The sequence below is a fragment of the Homo sapiens genome, chromosome Y, assembly GCF_000001405.40.
Source record: "Homo sapiens chromosome Y, GRCh38.p14 Primary Assembly".
NCBI classification, from domain to species: Eukaryota; Metazoa; Chordata; class Mammalia; order Primates; family Hominidae; genus Homo; species Homo sapiens.
In genome coordinates this window covers 321,935-337,681 of record NC_000024.10, presented here as the reverse complement: position 1 = coordinate 337,681, position 15,747 = coordinate 321,935, and the positions used below count along the sequence as shown (strand labels likewise).

Here is a 15,747-nt window from a genome sequence, read left to right as displayed (position 1 = left end):
GCCGTGTGGAACTGTCGGGGCCATTCTGGTGTTGGGCTGCCTGTGTGTGAATCTTAGACTCAGCCCGTCCTTGCTCTGCCGTCCTGTGGGAACGTGTGTTGGACTCTGACGTGGTGGTGAGTGCTGGTCCCGGGACCACGTGGACTGTGGCCCCCACCGGCCTCCCGTGGTGCACGCTGGAGCGACGTGGTCACTTTTGCCATCCCGTGCTGAGCTTCTCAGTTCTGCTTCTGTCCCGCGCTACGTTGGCTATTCTGGTTTCTTTGCCTTTGTATGAAAACACATAAGAATAGGCTCCTTCTGGCCGGGCGCGGTGGCTCACGCCTGTCATCCCAGCACTTTGGGAGGCTGAGGAGGGCGGATCACGAGGTCAGGAGATCGAGACCATCCTGGCCAACATGGTGAAACCCCGTCTCTACTAAACAAAAAAAAAATTAGCCAGGCGTGGTGGCGGGCGCCTGTAGTCCCAGCTACTCGGGAGGCTGAGGCAAGAGAATGGCGTGAATCTGGGAGGCGGAGCTTGCAGTGAGCCGAGATCGCGCCACCACACTCCAGCCTGGGTGACAGAGCGAGACTCCGTCTCCAAAAAAAAAAAGCCAGGGATGGTGGCACACGTCTGTAATCCCAGCTACTCGGGAGGTGCAGGTTGCAGTGAGCCAAGATCGCGCCACTGCACTCCAGCCCGGGCAACGAGAGCAAAACTCCATTTCCAAAACAAAAACAAACAATCTGAACTTTTGAGTGAGATCTCGCTGAGTGAATGGATCCCTGTGGGCCCAGCTGCCGCCTTCATAACCGCAGGAGGCCCAGTCCATGGGCGCCGTCCGTGTCTCTCGGCAGGATTTTTGTAGCTTTCCGTGTACGCTTGATGCGAATGTTGTGAGACTTCTGAGTGTTTCCTGATGTTTTCCTGTTGTCAGCGGTGCTTTTAAGGTTCCCGTTTCCAGTTGTTCGTTGGTAGCATATAGAATTTATTGACCTTGTGTTTTGCACCTTCATGAAACTCACTTACTGGATCTCAAAGCTCTGTCGGTTCTTTGGGGTTTTCTGCGTGGACAGCCCATGTCTGTCAGTGGGTCCGTCTCTCGTCTTCCTTTTCACCTCTCTGTGTACGTTACTTCCTTTCTCTTGCCTGCTGCATGGCCTGGAACCCGCAGGGAGATGTGGTGGATGTCAGGGCAGACCACGGCCAGCCTTGAGTGAGCCCTGCTGGTTTGTGTGCCGTCCTCGTTCCCAGTCCTGGGGGACGTCTCCCCTCACGCAGCGGTAAGCACGCTCATTGGCGAGGATGTTCTCCCTCTTCCTGGTCTGCGGGGGCTTTCTCGCAGTGGGGGCCGAATTTCTCAGATGCTTTCGCTCCGTGGTTCCTCTGTGTGTCCATACAGCGAGTTACACCGAGTCATTTTCAGCCAGCCTCGTGTTCCCAGGATAGATCTTGCCGAGTCATGTGTTATCCTCACATATTACTGGATTCTCTTTGCAGAGATTATCTGTAGTATTTTATTATTTTTTTGGAGACAGGGTCTGGCTGTGTCACGCAGGCTGGAGGGCATTGGCGCAATCTCAGCTCACTGCACCCTCCACCTGCTGGGCTTAAGGAATCCTCGCACCTGAGCCCCCCGAGTAGCTGGGCTTCCAGGCACGCACCACCACACCCGGCTACTTTTTTGTATTTTTTTGTAGAGATGGGGTTTCACCGTGTTGCCCAGGTTGGTCTTGGATGCCTGAGCTCGAGGGTTCTCCCCGCCTCGGTCCCCCAACGTGCCGGAATTACAGGTGTGAGCCCCTGCCCAGCCTTGAGTGAGCTTTGCTGGTTTGTGTGTTTCGGAAACTTGCCCGTTCCCATCAGTGGGTTATTGTTGGTATTTCCTGCTCGTGACTCTGATGTCTGCAGAATCCAGTGATAGCGTCTCTCACGCTCCTGATACTGACTTTGTGTGTGATCAGTGAGGCGAGGGGCCGACGAGGTTCACTCCTCTTCCCAGGGAACCACGGGTGTTTCTCCCCTTTGTTCTGCTGTTTTCCTTGAGTATCTTCAGGCAGCGACGTGGGCCATGGACACCGCAGCCCGCGGCCTTCTGATTTTGGTGCAGCTCAAAATACTTTCTGGTTACCGTTGGGTTCCCGACCCATGGGTTCCATGGACGTGCATTTTAACCCCTGCTCCCCCATCAGCCGCCCCGTCCGATTCCTGCCAAGCAGCACAGGGCCCCTGCGGCCCACCCTGGGCCGTCTGTCCTGTGTGTCCGTCCTCCTCGTGGTCATTGTTTGCACGGTGGCTCTGACCTGGCAGCCAACCTCTGGGTCCCCACAACTTCCCAGTCTCTGCCTTCTCCTGTCGGACACCCTAAGGCAGCTGTGGCCCCCAGACCTAGCCTGGATGGGTGTGCGCCTGTCCCCACCACCGTCTGTCACCTCTGCTCCCCACCTGACCAGTGTCCACCCCCACGGCTGCCCGGCTTTGTGTCTGCGGCACAGCCAGCAGCACGCTGGGGTCGACTGCCTTCACCGTGTCCACGCCTGCTCCGGCAGTGGGAGCTCAGGTCCGTGGGGGTGACCGCGGGGAGCTCAGTGCCAGGCTGTCGGGGGCGTCTTGGAAAGCAGAGGTGTCCCCACAGGATCTCTGAGAGTCTGTGTGGTCCGTGGCCGCGCTGGGTTCCCCGGAGCAGCGCCCGACGTCACTGCCGAGACCTTAAGGGAAGGCGCGCGTCCAGTCCTCGCACTGCTGCGTGTTCTGGTCAGAACGGAAGTGGTAGCCTCCACTGGGAGCTTCTGTGCTTTGGGAGAATGTGTCTAAACTGTGGTCCTGTTTGTTCTCCAGTCCTGTGTGGACACCACGACCCAGTTGTAAACACAGGTCCCGTGCAGCTCGCTTTGGGGAAGAGGCGCGCCCGCCCAGGTCCTCTGTGTGTAGCTCACGCCCGGGGCTCCGTCCCGTCCTGGGTGGGTTTTCACCTGCACCGCAGGCCCCTCCCCCGGGAGCATTCGTGGAGCCGGCGTCCTCAGCCAGGAGCGCGTTGCTGGCTCAGCGGCTGGAGCTCAAGGTCGGCTCAGGGGACTGTCTCGTGCTGGAGGTTGGCGGCCGAGCAGCCTGTGTTTCCCGGAAAACGGCCCAGGGCCTGCTCCGCGCTGCTGGCCACGTCTTCGCCATCCCCTCGTTGCAGGTTCGAGGCCGAGCTCAGCCCTGTGGAGCAGAAGCTGAGTGCGCTGCGCTCCCCGCTGGCCCAGAGGCCCTTCTTCGAGGCGCCCTCACCGCTGGGCGCCGTGGACCTGTACGAGTACGCATGCGGGGACGAGGACCTGGAGCCGCTGTGACGCCGCCCGCGAGAACGCCGCCGCGGGGCCGCTCCCCACGTGCCACCACCGGGCCACCGCGGCTCGTGTAAAAACTGTTGTGGAAAATGAGTGCGTTTGTACGGAATGATAAACTTTTATTTATTCACAGAAGCGTGTTGATTGCCGCTGTGGGTTCGTGGCTGGACCTGCCCAGAGCTCTGTGCCAGGGGGACACGTAGGGCCGCGCGTGAATGGGACGGGTTCCCACACGGACACCCTCTGGCGCTTGCCGTTCCCGACCCAGCCTGGGTTCCGGGGCCTGCGTCTGTGGAAAGGGTCCGTGTGCGCACAACGGTGACCGGCGGCTCCCGGGCGCCTCAGTCCTGGACAGGAGCCTCCACCACAGGCTGTGTGAATGTTTTGTGTAAACGTACAAAACCGTTTCTGGCGATCACGCTTGTACGTTTGGAGGATTTTCAGTCACGGGCTCGGCTCCCTCAGCCACAGCGTGGCTCCGTCCAGGATTTACAAGCGTCAGTGCTGGAGGGGGACCGCAGCCACGCCAGACGCCTCGGGGTGCAGCCTGGGCCTCTCTGCGGGGCCCCTCCCCAGCCAGGGGGACCCCACCCTCGGGGCCGTTCCCTCCCGGAGCCACGGACCCAGGCCCCGTTCCACAAACGACCCCAGAAGGAAGGAGCCCGCGCCAGAGTGGGGACGTCCACAGCTGGGGGACACCTAAATGAGGGGGGTCGGAGGCCCCACCAGGAGGAGCTCCCTGTGCAGGGGAGGCCACAAGCACCCCAGGGGCACCCGACGTGGATGAGCCCAGGCCCAGCTGTGCTCCCTCTGCACGCAGGTGAGGGTCACAGGTGGTGACCATGGGAACAACCCCGTCCTCACACACGACAAAACTCTCCCCCAGGAAACGGAGGTGGCAGCGTCCACGCGGCAGGGCAGGGCCAAGCCGGGACCACCCCGAGAGCAGCATACGCACCCCGTTCATCCACCGGCAGCCGTCGCTGTGAAGGAGGCGGACGCACAGGGTGGTCCCGTGACCCCTGAGGAGAGACTGCGGGGGCTCCAGGTGGTGGGTAGACGAGGCAGCACCTCCCGGGGGAATGCTGCTGTCCCCAAGGTGTCCTCAGTGTCACCAGGTGCTCCCCTGAATTCCCGGATGCCCCCACCTGGGTCTGCGAAGGGTCAGGACCCCCAACAACAGGACAGGTGCAGGGCAGGAGGTTCTGCCGCAGGGAAATGACACTGGGAGCCACGGCCCGCAGGGCCCACCCTGCCCTCAGCTCCGGGGAGCCCGTCTGGGAGACCATGTCCGCCCCACACCACCTCCGGACACCACCCCCCAACACACACACACCTATGAGCCGGAGCCCATGGTCATGGGAGGGCTCTGACCAGCGCCCTCAGCCTCCCCACACTGACACTGGGAGCCCCCCCAATTAGGGTTCAAGGCTGAGACATGAGAGGCCTCCCTGGGGCCGTGAAAGACAGCGTCCCCCACCCACGACGCTGGTGAGGCCCCTGCACAGCCACTGAGCATCCTCCGACATCCCTGTACCCAATGCATTCCCCCAAGTGCCCCGTCCTTCCCCAGCCACAACCCCAGATGCCCCGGGCAGTGCCGGGGCCGGGCGTGCACACCGACACCTTTGCCGGAGAAGTGGGGGGGTCCTGTCGGGGGTCCTCGTGGACGGCGGCGCTGCGGGGAGACCCAGAGCCCAGCAGTCATGCCCTCCACGTGTTCTGGGGGTCCATTCCCCCGAGGGCTCACGTGTGCAGGGGGCCAGGGACCCCACAAAACAAGCACTCGGGGCACCCTGACCGTGGCCAGCGTCCCGCCAGAAGCCAGGATGTTCCAGGGCTCAGCGCCTCACCCTCTGAATGACAATCGTGGGTCCCCCGCACTTCGTGGCCGTCACCCCTTGGAGATCCCCGAGCAGGGACCCGACCCAGCCCACCCCTCCCCTCCCTCACGGGGTGCCTTCGTGTCAGAACCAAGAGTGTTCACAGGGGCAGCCCCGGGTCCACCCAGGAGCAGCAGCATGAGCTCTGTTCCGGGAGGACCATGAAAGGTGCCAGCCACAGCCCTGAGGTCCCGGGGCACCTCCTCACGGGACAAGACACAGCTGCTCAAGGCGCAGCAGGGGTGACCGCCGGCACCAGACCGGCATCCACAGCGCTGTCCTGAGGGGCGGCAGGGACAGTGATGGCAAGACGGGCTACCCAGAATAAGGGGACCCAGCCTGGTGGGGGGGACGGGGCCCGGAGAGCCATGAGACGGGGGAGACAGAGGAGATGGAGAGGGGGAGATGGGGGAGAACTGGGGGGCCTCAGATACAGGGGATGAGGCAAAGCCGGACCCAGCCATGGCCTGCAGCCCTGAGGTCCCGGGGCGCCTCCTCGTGGGACAGGACACAGCTCCTCGAGGTGGAGCCGAGGTGACGGGGAGCAGAGGTGACGGGCACCACAGGTTCCCAGCACTGGCACCAGACCGGCACCGAGAGCCCCGCCCAGAACAAGGGGGGACCCAGCCTGCGGAGGGACGGGGTCTGGACAGCCACGAGACGGAGGAGACGGAGAAGGGAGAGATGGAGGAAATGGAGACGGGCAAGACGGAGGGGAGGGAGGAGATGGAGAAAGGGGAGTTGGGGGAGAACGGGCGGGCATCAGATGCAGGAATGAGGCAGAGCCAGACCCAGCCGCGCTCAGCAGTTCCTAGAGAAGACACGGCTCCCGGGGGAGCGGGAGGCCTTTATGACTCAGAGCCGGGGAAGGAGCAGAGGCCGGAGGTCGTCCCCAGCACGGTGCCCACGGGCCGCCCTGCCCAGGCCGAGGGGTCGGACCCCACACGGCACAGAAGCCCCGTCTGCCGCAGCCCCGAGACACACATCCTGTGGCTGACAGCGGTGCGGCCCCTGGGCCGGCGCAGACCCCACGTGGCACAGACGGCCCCGCTGGGTCTCAAGCCTGCAGACAAGGCCACGCACCCGGCAAGACGCTGCTGCGTGGCTACAGCAGAGGGGCCTCGAACCACGTTCCCCATGACCCACGGGCAGACCCTGGCACAGCAGGGATCCCTGCGCCCTGGCGCCGTGTAGAAGTCACAGCTCCCCCAGCCTTGGCTGCCGCACACGCCACTCAGAGCCTGGGGAGCAGCCGTTCGGGTCTCGGTGAAACAGCGGCCCCAGGACGTGTCTGCGCAGCTCCTAGGCGGGGGCTGCCCCGGGTCTTCCGCACGGGGGCCTGGCCGTCGGCTGCAGCCTCCCCCGGCCCCGTGTCCTCACCATGGCGTAGCTGTCTCCACCCCGGTATCAGCTCCCGCAGCAGCCCCGGCCGCCACGAGTGGGTCCTGACCACAAGGAGGGGGGTCCTGACCACAAGGCGGGGGGTCCTGCCCGCCTCTGCCCCAGAGAACAGCCCCTCTGCGGGGACAGGGCCACCCCATCTCCCTAGCGCGGCGCTGCCTGACCTCACGGAGCAGCCATGGGGGGGACGAGGCCCCGTCGGGGGGGACGACCCCAGTGGTGCAGGGATAGGAGGTCCCGCTTGGACAAGCCCCCCACAGGCCTCCCCACAACAGGGCTTCTAGGCCCCGTCTCTCAGCCCCCAACACACAGGCCCTTGCCCCGCAACCAGGACGGGCCTGAGCGGTACCTACGGCCGACAGCCCACAGGTGCGACCACAGGGGGACGCGACCACAGGGGGACGCGACCACAGGGGGACGCGACAGCCCCTCCCCCAGGTCACAGAGGCCCCCGAGCCCCCATCCTCCTCGCCAGGGCCTCGGCCCCCAGGCACTCACACAAACCTTGCAGGAGACTCAGAGAAGTGGGGCTTAGGGAGGCAGCCCCCTAGCTATAGCGATTCCAGAAAGGCAGACTCTATGCTGTGCCTGTTTTCTGTTTGTCGCCCAGGCTGGACTGCCATGGTGCGATCTCGGCTCACTGCAGCCTCTGCCTTCTGGGTTCAAGCGATTCTCCTGCCTCAGCCTCCCGCGTAGCTGGGATCACAGGCGCCCGCCACCACCACGCCCGGCTAATTTTTGTATTTTCAGTTGAGACGGGGTTTCTCCATGTTGGCCAGGATGGTCTCAAACAACTGACCTCAAGTGATCCACCCGCCTCGGCCTCCCAAAATGCTGGGATGACAGGTGTGAGCCACCGCGCCCGGCCTTTTTTTAATAGAAAACTGGGGTCCCACCAGGCACAGGGGCTCACGCCTGTCATCCCAGCACTTTGGGAGGCCGAGGCAGGCGGATCACGAGGTCAGGAGTTAGAGACCAGCCTGGCCAACATGGTGAAACCCCGTCTCTACTAAAAATACAAAAAATTAGCCGGGCGTGGTGGCGGGCGCCTGTGATCCCAGCTACTCGGGAGGCTGAGGCAGGAGAATGGCATGAACCCGGGAGGCGGAGCTTGCAGGGAGCCGAGATCACACCACTGCACTCCAGGCTGGGCGACAGAGCGAGACTCCGTCTCAAAAAATAAATAAATGTACCATGGAAACCTGCCCCGTCCTCACCTCACCCAATGTCAGAGTCAGGGACACAGGGCATAGCCCACAGGGTAGGATGACAGGATGTCCACCCAGGCCCTGACCCTCCTGACCGCCCCTCATCCAGGGGTACCCCGACCTTTTAGGACTATGACGTGCCCTGAACACCGGGGATGTGGGGTGCCCCAATCCTTTAGGACTACGGGGTACTCTAAACATGACAGCCATGGGGTGCCCTGACCCTTTAGGACTATAGGGTGCCCAGAACATGACGGCCGGAGGGTACCCCAACCTTTTAGGGCTGCGGGACACACTTCTTAAGACTACAGCTCGGCCTACAGGAGTCCAGGGGACGCCAGGCCTATGTGGGGAGGGGGCAGAGGCAGAAAAGCGATGGGGGAGGTGCGGGGCATCGGCTGTCCCTGCCCTGAAGGGACGGATGGGGCCGCCAGGTAGGCGTGCGGCCAGGACCACCCAAGGACTCAAGGGAGAGATGGGACGGGGAGAGGGGGAGGGGGGGACGGGGAGAGGGGGAGGGGGGGACGGGGAGAGGGGGAGGGGGGGACGGGGAGAGGGGGAGGGGGGGACGGGGAGAGGGGGAGGGGGGGACGGGGAGAGGGGGAGGGGGGGACGGGGAGAGGGGGAGGGGGGGACGGGGAGAGGGGGAGGGGGGGACGGGGAGAGGGGGAGGGGGGGACGGGGAGAGGGGGAGGGGGGACGGGGAGAGGGGGGACGGGGAGAGAGGGAGGGGGGACGGGGAGAGTAGGGGGGACGGGGAGAGGAGGGGGGACGGGGAGAGAGGAGGGGGGACGGGGAGAGAGGAGGGGGGACGGGGAGAGAGGAGAGGGGGACGGGGAGAGAGGAGAGGGGGACGGGGAGAGAGGGAGGGGGGCGGGGAGAGAGGGAGGGGGGCGGGGAGAGAGGAGAGGGGAGGGGGAGGGGGGAGGGGGAGAGAGGAGGAGGAGGGGGAGGGGGAGAGAGGGGGGGAGGGGGAGAGAGGAGGGGGAGGGGGGAGAGAGGAGGGGGAGGGGGGAGGGGAGAGGTGGGGCGGAGAGGGGAGGGGGGCAGGGAGGGGGGGCAGGGAGAGGGGAGGGCAGGGAGAGGGGAGGGGGGCGGGGAGGGGGGAGGGGGAGAGGGGAGGGGGGCGGGGAGGGGGGAGGGGGAGAGGGGAGGGGGACGGGGAGGGGGGGCGGGGAGAGGGGAGGGGGGATGGGGGGGCGGGGAGAGGGGAGGGGGGACGGGGAGAGAGGGAGGGGGGACGGGGAGAGAGGGAGGGGGGACGGGGAGAGGGGAGGGGGGACGGGGAGAGGGGAGGGGGGACGGGGAGAGGGGAGGGGGGACGGGGGGGCGGGGAGAGGGGAGGGGGGACGGGGAGAGAGGGAGGGGGGACGGGGAGAGAGGGAGGGGGGACGGGGAGAGAGGGAGGGGGGACGGGGAGAGAGGGAGGGGGGACGGGGAGAGGGGAGGGGGGACGGGGAGAGGGGAGGGGGGACGGGGAGAGGGGAGGGGGGACGGGGGGGCGGGGAGAGGGGAGGGGGGACGGGGAGAGAGGGAGGGGGGACGGGGAGAGAGGGAGGGGGGACGGGGAGAGGGGAGGGGGACGGGGAGAGGGGAGGGGGGCGGGGAGAGGGGAGGGGGGGCGGGGAGAGGGGAGGGGGGGCAGGGAGAGAGGAGGGGAACAGGATGGGGGGGCGGGGACAGGTGCCGGAACCAGGGTCACACGTGGAAGGCCAGGACCCTGGGTCAGGGCGGGGTGGGAAGACCCGGGGTCACACGTGGGGCGGCCTCCTGACTGCAGCGTGGCCTTCAGTCGCGCTGTCACCAGCCTGTGGGACCCCTGGGGTGCAGAGAGGGAGCCAAGCCTCGGGGGCCCAGCCCGGATGCCGCCGACTCCCACCCGCCAGCCTCGCCGAGAGCCCACTGACGTGATCACTCCACAGAGATCCCATCCCGGGGTTCCGGGGCCCGTGCAGGAGAAACGCAGGTGCAGGGCCTCGTGCCCACACCGCCGGCATCTGTGCTCCACAACCAAACTCCTAGAGCCGTCATCATCCCTGGGCTGCAGCGCTGGCCGGCGACGACTCCCCGACCACCTCGCTGGGGTCACATGTCCCCGTGGGTAGAAAATCCAGTGACGGATGTAGACAAAGAGCCCTCTGCACGCCTGGAAGCCCAGCGCCTTCGGAGGCCGAGGTGGGGGGATCACCTGAGCTCAGGAGTTTGAGACCAGCCTGGGCAACGTGGCAAAACCTCGTCTCTAGGAAAAATTTAACAATCAGACGGACACGGTGGTGCGCACCTGTGATCCCAGCTACTCGGGAGGCTGAGGCAGGAGAATGGCTTGAACCCGGGAGGCAGAGGTTGCAGTGAGCCGAGATCGCCCCATTGCACTCCAGCCTGGGGGACAGAGCAAGACCCTGTTTCAAAAAAAAACCATTTAGCCATTTGCATGATGAGGACCAAGAGAATAAAAATGAAATCTCAGCAACTCACTCTCCAATTCCTGTAGGAAAATGAAATGAGAAACATACGCATGTAAAGTATTTAGTATTTCCTGCAGTTTAAGAAATAGAATCCGGGGCCGGGGCACGGTGGCTCACGCCTGTCATCCCAGCACTTTGGGAGGCCGAGGTGGGTGGATCACCTGAGGTCAGGAGTTCGAGACCAGCCTGGCCAACATGGTGAAATCCCGTCTCTACTAAAACTACAAATACTAGCTGGGTAGTGGTGGAGCATGCCTGTAATTCTAGCTTCTCAGGAGGCTGAGGCAGTAGAATCACTTGAACCTGGGAGGCGGAGGTTGCAGTGAGCCAAGATCGTGCCATTGCACTCCAGCCTGGGTGACAGAACAAGACTTCGTCTCAAAAAAAATAAATAAAAACAATGCTCATCTTTGTACGATCTAATTGTCAGTCATTTTTATTTCCTTCTGCGTTTGCTTTCAGGAGAACTTACCACCATTTTCCTGGCCACCGTCTTCCAAAACAGACGACGGCTTCACCATATCATGAAGAGATTTTCCTCTAACACACGAGAAAAACAAACTTGCAAACTGGTTATAAAACAGCCACCCCCTTGGCCGGGTGTGGTGGCGGACGCCTGTAATCCCAGCTACTCAGGAGACTGAGGCAGGAGAATAGCTTGAACCCGGGAGGCGGAGGTTGCAGTGAGCCAAGGTTGTGCCATTGCACTCCGGCCTGGGCAACAAGAGCAAAACTCCGTCTCAAAAAAACAAAACAAAACAAAACAAAAAACAAACTTGCAAACCTATTATAAAACAGCAACCCCCTGGCTGGGCACGGGGGCTCACGCCTGTAATCCCAGCACTTTGGGAGGCCGAGGCGGGTGGATCACCTGAGTTCGGGAGTTTGAGACCAGCCTGGCCAGCACGGAAAAACCCCTATCTCTACTAAAAATACAAAATTAACCAGGCATGGTGGCAGGTGCCTATAATCCCAGCTACTCGAGAGGCTGAGGCAGGAGAATCCCTTGAACCCCGGAGGCAGAGGCTGCAGTGAGCCGAGATCTTGCCATTGCACTCCAGCCTGGGGAACAAGAGCAAAACTCCACCTCAAAAAAAAAGAAAAACAAAAACAAAAACAAACTTGCAAACCTGTTATAAAACAGCCACCCCCTTGGCCTGACGTCGTGCCTCACGCCTGTAATCCCAGCACTTTGGGAGGCTGAGGCAGGCGGATCCCTTGAGCTCAGGATTTTGAGACCAGCCTGGCCAACGTGGTAAAACGCTGTCTCTACCAAAAATACAAAAGTTAGCCAGGTGTGGTGGTGCATGTTTGTAATCCAAGCTAGCTGGAGGGCTGGGGCAGAAGGATCACTTGAACCTGGAAGGCAGAGTTTGCAGTGAGCCGAGATCGCGCCACTACACTCCAGCCTGGGCGAGCGAGCGACACTCTGTCTCAAAAAAACAGACAACGGTCACTCCCAACCAACTCACATTAAACCCTTCTCTCAAGGGCTATGGATAAACAGTTTGAATTTTAAGAACACAAGCTGCCATGAGACATTTTAAATGTTTTTGTCAGCAAAGGGCAGAAAGTTATAAAACTCAATGACAGGAAATTGCAAACATATAAGATTATAGTAGGTAAAATATCAACCCAATCTTTTTTTTTTTTTTTTGAGACAGAGTCTGGCTCTGTCACCCAGGCTGGAGTGCAGTGCTGCAATCTCAGCTCACTGCAAGCTCCGCCTCCTGGGTTCACGCCATTCTCCCGCCTCAGCCTCCTGAGCAGCTGGGACTACAGGCACCTTCCACCACACCCAGCTAATTTTTTGTATTTTTAGTAGAGACGGGGTTTCACCGAATTAGCCAGGATGGTCTCGATCTCCTGACCTCGTGATCCACCCACCTCAGCCTCCCAAAGTGCTGGGATGACAGGCGTGAGCCACCGTGCCCGGTTTTTTTTTTTTTTTAAACACTTGTGAAGGTGCACAGGTAAATGATCAGATTTTTTTTTTTTTAAGATGGAGCCTCGCCCTGTCACCCAGGCTGGAGTACAGCAGCATGGTCTCAGCTCACTGCAACCTCTGCCTCCCGGGTTCAAGCAATTCTCCCACCTCAGCCTCCAGAGCAGCTGGGATTACAGGCACCTGCCACAACGCCCCGCTAATTTTTTGTATTTTTAGTAGAGACAGGTTCTCACTATGTTGGCCAGGTTGGTCTCGAACTCCTGACCTCAGGTGATCCACCTACCTCGGCCTCCCAAAGTGCTGGGATGACAGGCATGAGCCACCGTGCCCAGCGTAGATTTATTGGATTCTAAAATGCACAATTCTCTGTGTCTGGGTGTTTCTGAAACCAAGGTCATCTCACCATCCACAGGAATCTTTAATAGCTTTTTCCCCCCAACAGTTATTACCATCCATGGTATATGAAAGTCAAGAAAACAGGAAACTCTCAAAACCAAGTTCCGAAAGCCCTGGTGCTTCTGCTAAGCTGGCTGCGGCCTCCTGTGTGTTTCGAATACCAGCCACACTGTGGCAGCCGCATCTCACCAGGCAGGCCTCCATAACGGCTTCAGTACCGACTGAGTGGCAAAGTTACATATAAAAACCTGAAAGAGGCCGGGCGCGGTGGCTCACGCCTGTCATCCCAGCACTTTGGGAGGCCGAGGTGGGCGGATCACCTGAGGTCGGGAGTTCAAGACCAGCCTGACCAACATGGAGAAACCCCGTCTCTACTAAAAATACAGAATTTAGCCAGGCATGGTGGCAGCTGCCTGTAATCCCAGCTACTCGGGAGGCTGAGGCAGGAGAATCACTTGAACCCGGGAACCCGGGAGGCAGAGGTTTCCGTGAGCTGAGATCATACCACTACAGTCCAGCCTGGGTGACAGAGCGAGACTCTGTTTCAAAAAAAAAAAAAAGAAAAGAAAAAAAAATTGTTACAGAGAAGAGGGTCTCGCTATGCTGGCCAGGCTGGTCTCGAACCCCTGAGCTGAGGCAACCCTCCTGCGCTGGTATCCCACAGTGCTGGGATGACAGGCCTGAGCCACCGCCCCCGGCCATCTATGGCTTTTTATCTCCAACGTGAGGCAAGGAAGAGGCACAGCTCAGGAGCGAGCTGAGTCGACGGCAGATGGCGCCCAGGTCCCGAGCCAGCTGTGTCTGCAATGCGGCCACCTGCACGTCCCCTCTCATCCCAGAGCTCACCCTCCGGAGCCATCATCCCCCCAACACGCAGGGCTCACCCTCCAAAGGGCCCCTGGCGGGGTCAGGGCCTGCGTGGTGGTCCGTGGACTCGCTTACCGACCCTCCTTCTGCGCGGCCTCCTGAAGCCCTTGGATGGCTTGGAGGGCACGGGGACCAGGTACTAAAGGATAATCATGGCTACACACACGTCCCTGAGCTCACCACCTGAGGACGCCCTCATTCCGTCTCTATGAACAGGGCAGACGGAACCCAGGAGCCCAGGAGATTGATGGTTACACACACACACACACACACACACAACGTCCCTGAGCTCACCACCTGGGGACGCCCTCATTCCATCCCTATGAACAGGGCAGACGGAACCCAGGAGCCCAGGAGATTGATGGTTACACACACACACACACACACACACGTCCCTGAGCTCACCACCTGGGGACGCCCTCATTCTGTCTCTATGAACAGGGCAGACGGAACCCAGGAGCCCAGGAGATTGACGGCTACACACACACACACACACACACACACACACACACACACACACAACGTCCCTGAGCTCACCACCTGGGGACGCCCTCATTCTGTCTCTATGAACAGGGCAGACGGAACCCAGGAGCCCAGGAGATTGACGGCTACACACACACACACACACACACACACACACACACACACACACACGTCCCTGAGCTCACCACCTGGGGACGCCCTCATTCCGTCTCTCAGTCTATTAACAGGGAATACTGAGCCTGGGAGACTGTCGGCTACACACACACACCCAAGCTCACCACCTGGGGACACCCAATGCTCCTCCCCCAGCACCTTCGAAGCTCTCATTCCGTCTCTCAGTCTATTAACAGGGAAGACGGAGCCCGGGAGAGGCCTCGTCCCGCGCTGCCCCGGCGAATCTGGGTCCCGATTCTGAGTTCAGTGGTGTTAGAAATAATAGGGTATGTGCCCCCTTCAGGGTGAATATAGCTAACCCCATTTACCCAGGCTGTGCACGTCACAATTCCACTCGTGGTGTAGCTGGGACCACAGGCACCCACACACCACACCCGGCTAATTTTTAAATTTTTTTTTTGTAGATATGGGTTCTTACCATGTTGCCCATGCTGGTGTCAAACTCCTGGGCTCAAGCGATCCTCCCACCTCAGCCTCCCGAGTAGCTGGGACCACAGAAGGTCCATCCCACACCCCCACCCCACCGTCAAGCTCTCGCTTTAGGGCCCAGGCTGGAGTGCAGTGGTACAATCTCAGCTCCCAGGCTGGAGTGCAGTGGTACAATCTCAGCTCACTGCAACCTCCACCTCCCAGGTTCAAGCAATTCTCCTACCTCAGCCTCTGGAGTAGCTGGGACTACAGGTGTGTGCCACCACGCCCGGCTAATTTTTGCACATTTAGTAGAGTCAGTGTTTCTCCATGTTGGCCAGGCTGGTCTCAAATGCCTGACCTCAGGTGATCCACCCACCTCGGCCTCCCAAAGTGCTGGAATGACAGGCGTGAGCCACCGTGCCTGATCTCAGACACCTTTTGGTGCTTCTTGTTTGAGATGGGGTCTCACTCTGTCACCCAGGCTGGAGCACAGTGCTGCAATCTAAGCTCACTGCAGCCTCCACCTCCTGGGCTCAGGTGATCCTCCCACCTCAGCGTCCCGAGCAGCTGGGACCACAGGCACCCACCACCACACCAGGCTAATTTTTCTTTCTTTCTTTCTTTTTTTTTTTTTTTGTAGATAATAGGGTCTTACCATATTGCCCATGCTGGCGTCAAACTCCTGGGCTCAAGCAATCCTCCCACCTCAGCGTCCCGAGCAGCTGGGACCACAGGCACCCACCACCACACCAGGCTAATTTTTCTTTCTTTTTTTTTTTTTTTTTTTTTTTTTGTAGATAATAGGGTCTTACCATATTGCCCATGCTGGCGTCAAACTCCTGGGCTCAAGCAATCCTCCCACCTCAGCGTCCCGAGCAGCTGGGACCACAGGCACCCACCACCACGCCCGGCTTTTCTTTTTTTTTTTTTTTTTTGTAGATAATGGGGTCTTACCATATTGCCCATGCTGGTGTCAAACTCCTGGGCTCAAGCAATCCTCCCACCTCAGCGTCCCGAGCAGCTGGGACCACAGGCACCCACCACCACACCAGGCTAATTTTTCTTTCTTTTTTTTTTTTTTTTTTTTTTGTAGATAATAGGGTCTTACCATATTGCCCATGCTGGCGTCAAACTCCTGGGCTCAAGCAATCCTCCCACCTCAGCGTCCCGAGCAGCTGGGACCACAGGCACCCACCACC

The 15,747-nt window shown here is 60.7% G+C and overlaps 1 protein-coding gene across 8 annotated transcripts in view; it reads left to right on the top strand.

Annotated features, from left to right (window-relative positions):
* PPP2R3B (protein phosphatase 2 regulatory subunit B''beta) overlaps positions 1–3,749 on the top strand; it is a 52,975-nt gene extending 49,226 nt beyond the window's left edge. For 5 of the 8 annotated variants that reach the window (XM_047442723.1, XM_047442726.1, XM_047442727.1 and 2 more), the window contains one exon: positions 2,619–3,444. In XM_047442723.1, coding sequence (XP_047298679.1) covers positions 2,619–3,315 — 697 coding nt within the window. In that variant the 3' untranslated portion in view covers positions 3,316–3,444. Of the gene's footprint in view, positions 1–1,683 lie in introns of all 8 variants that reach the window. The other 3 variants (NM_013239.5, XM_047442728.1, XM_011545630.4) reach the window with 2 other exon arrangements.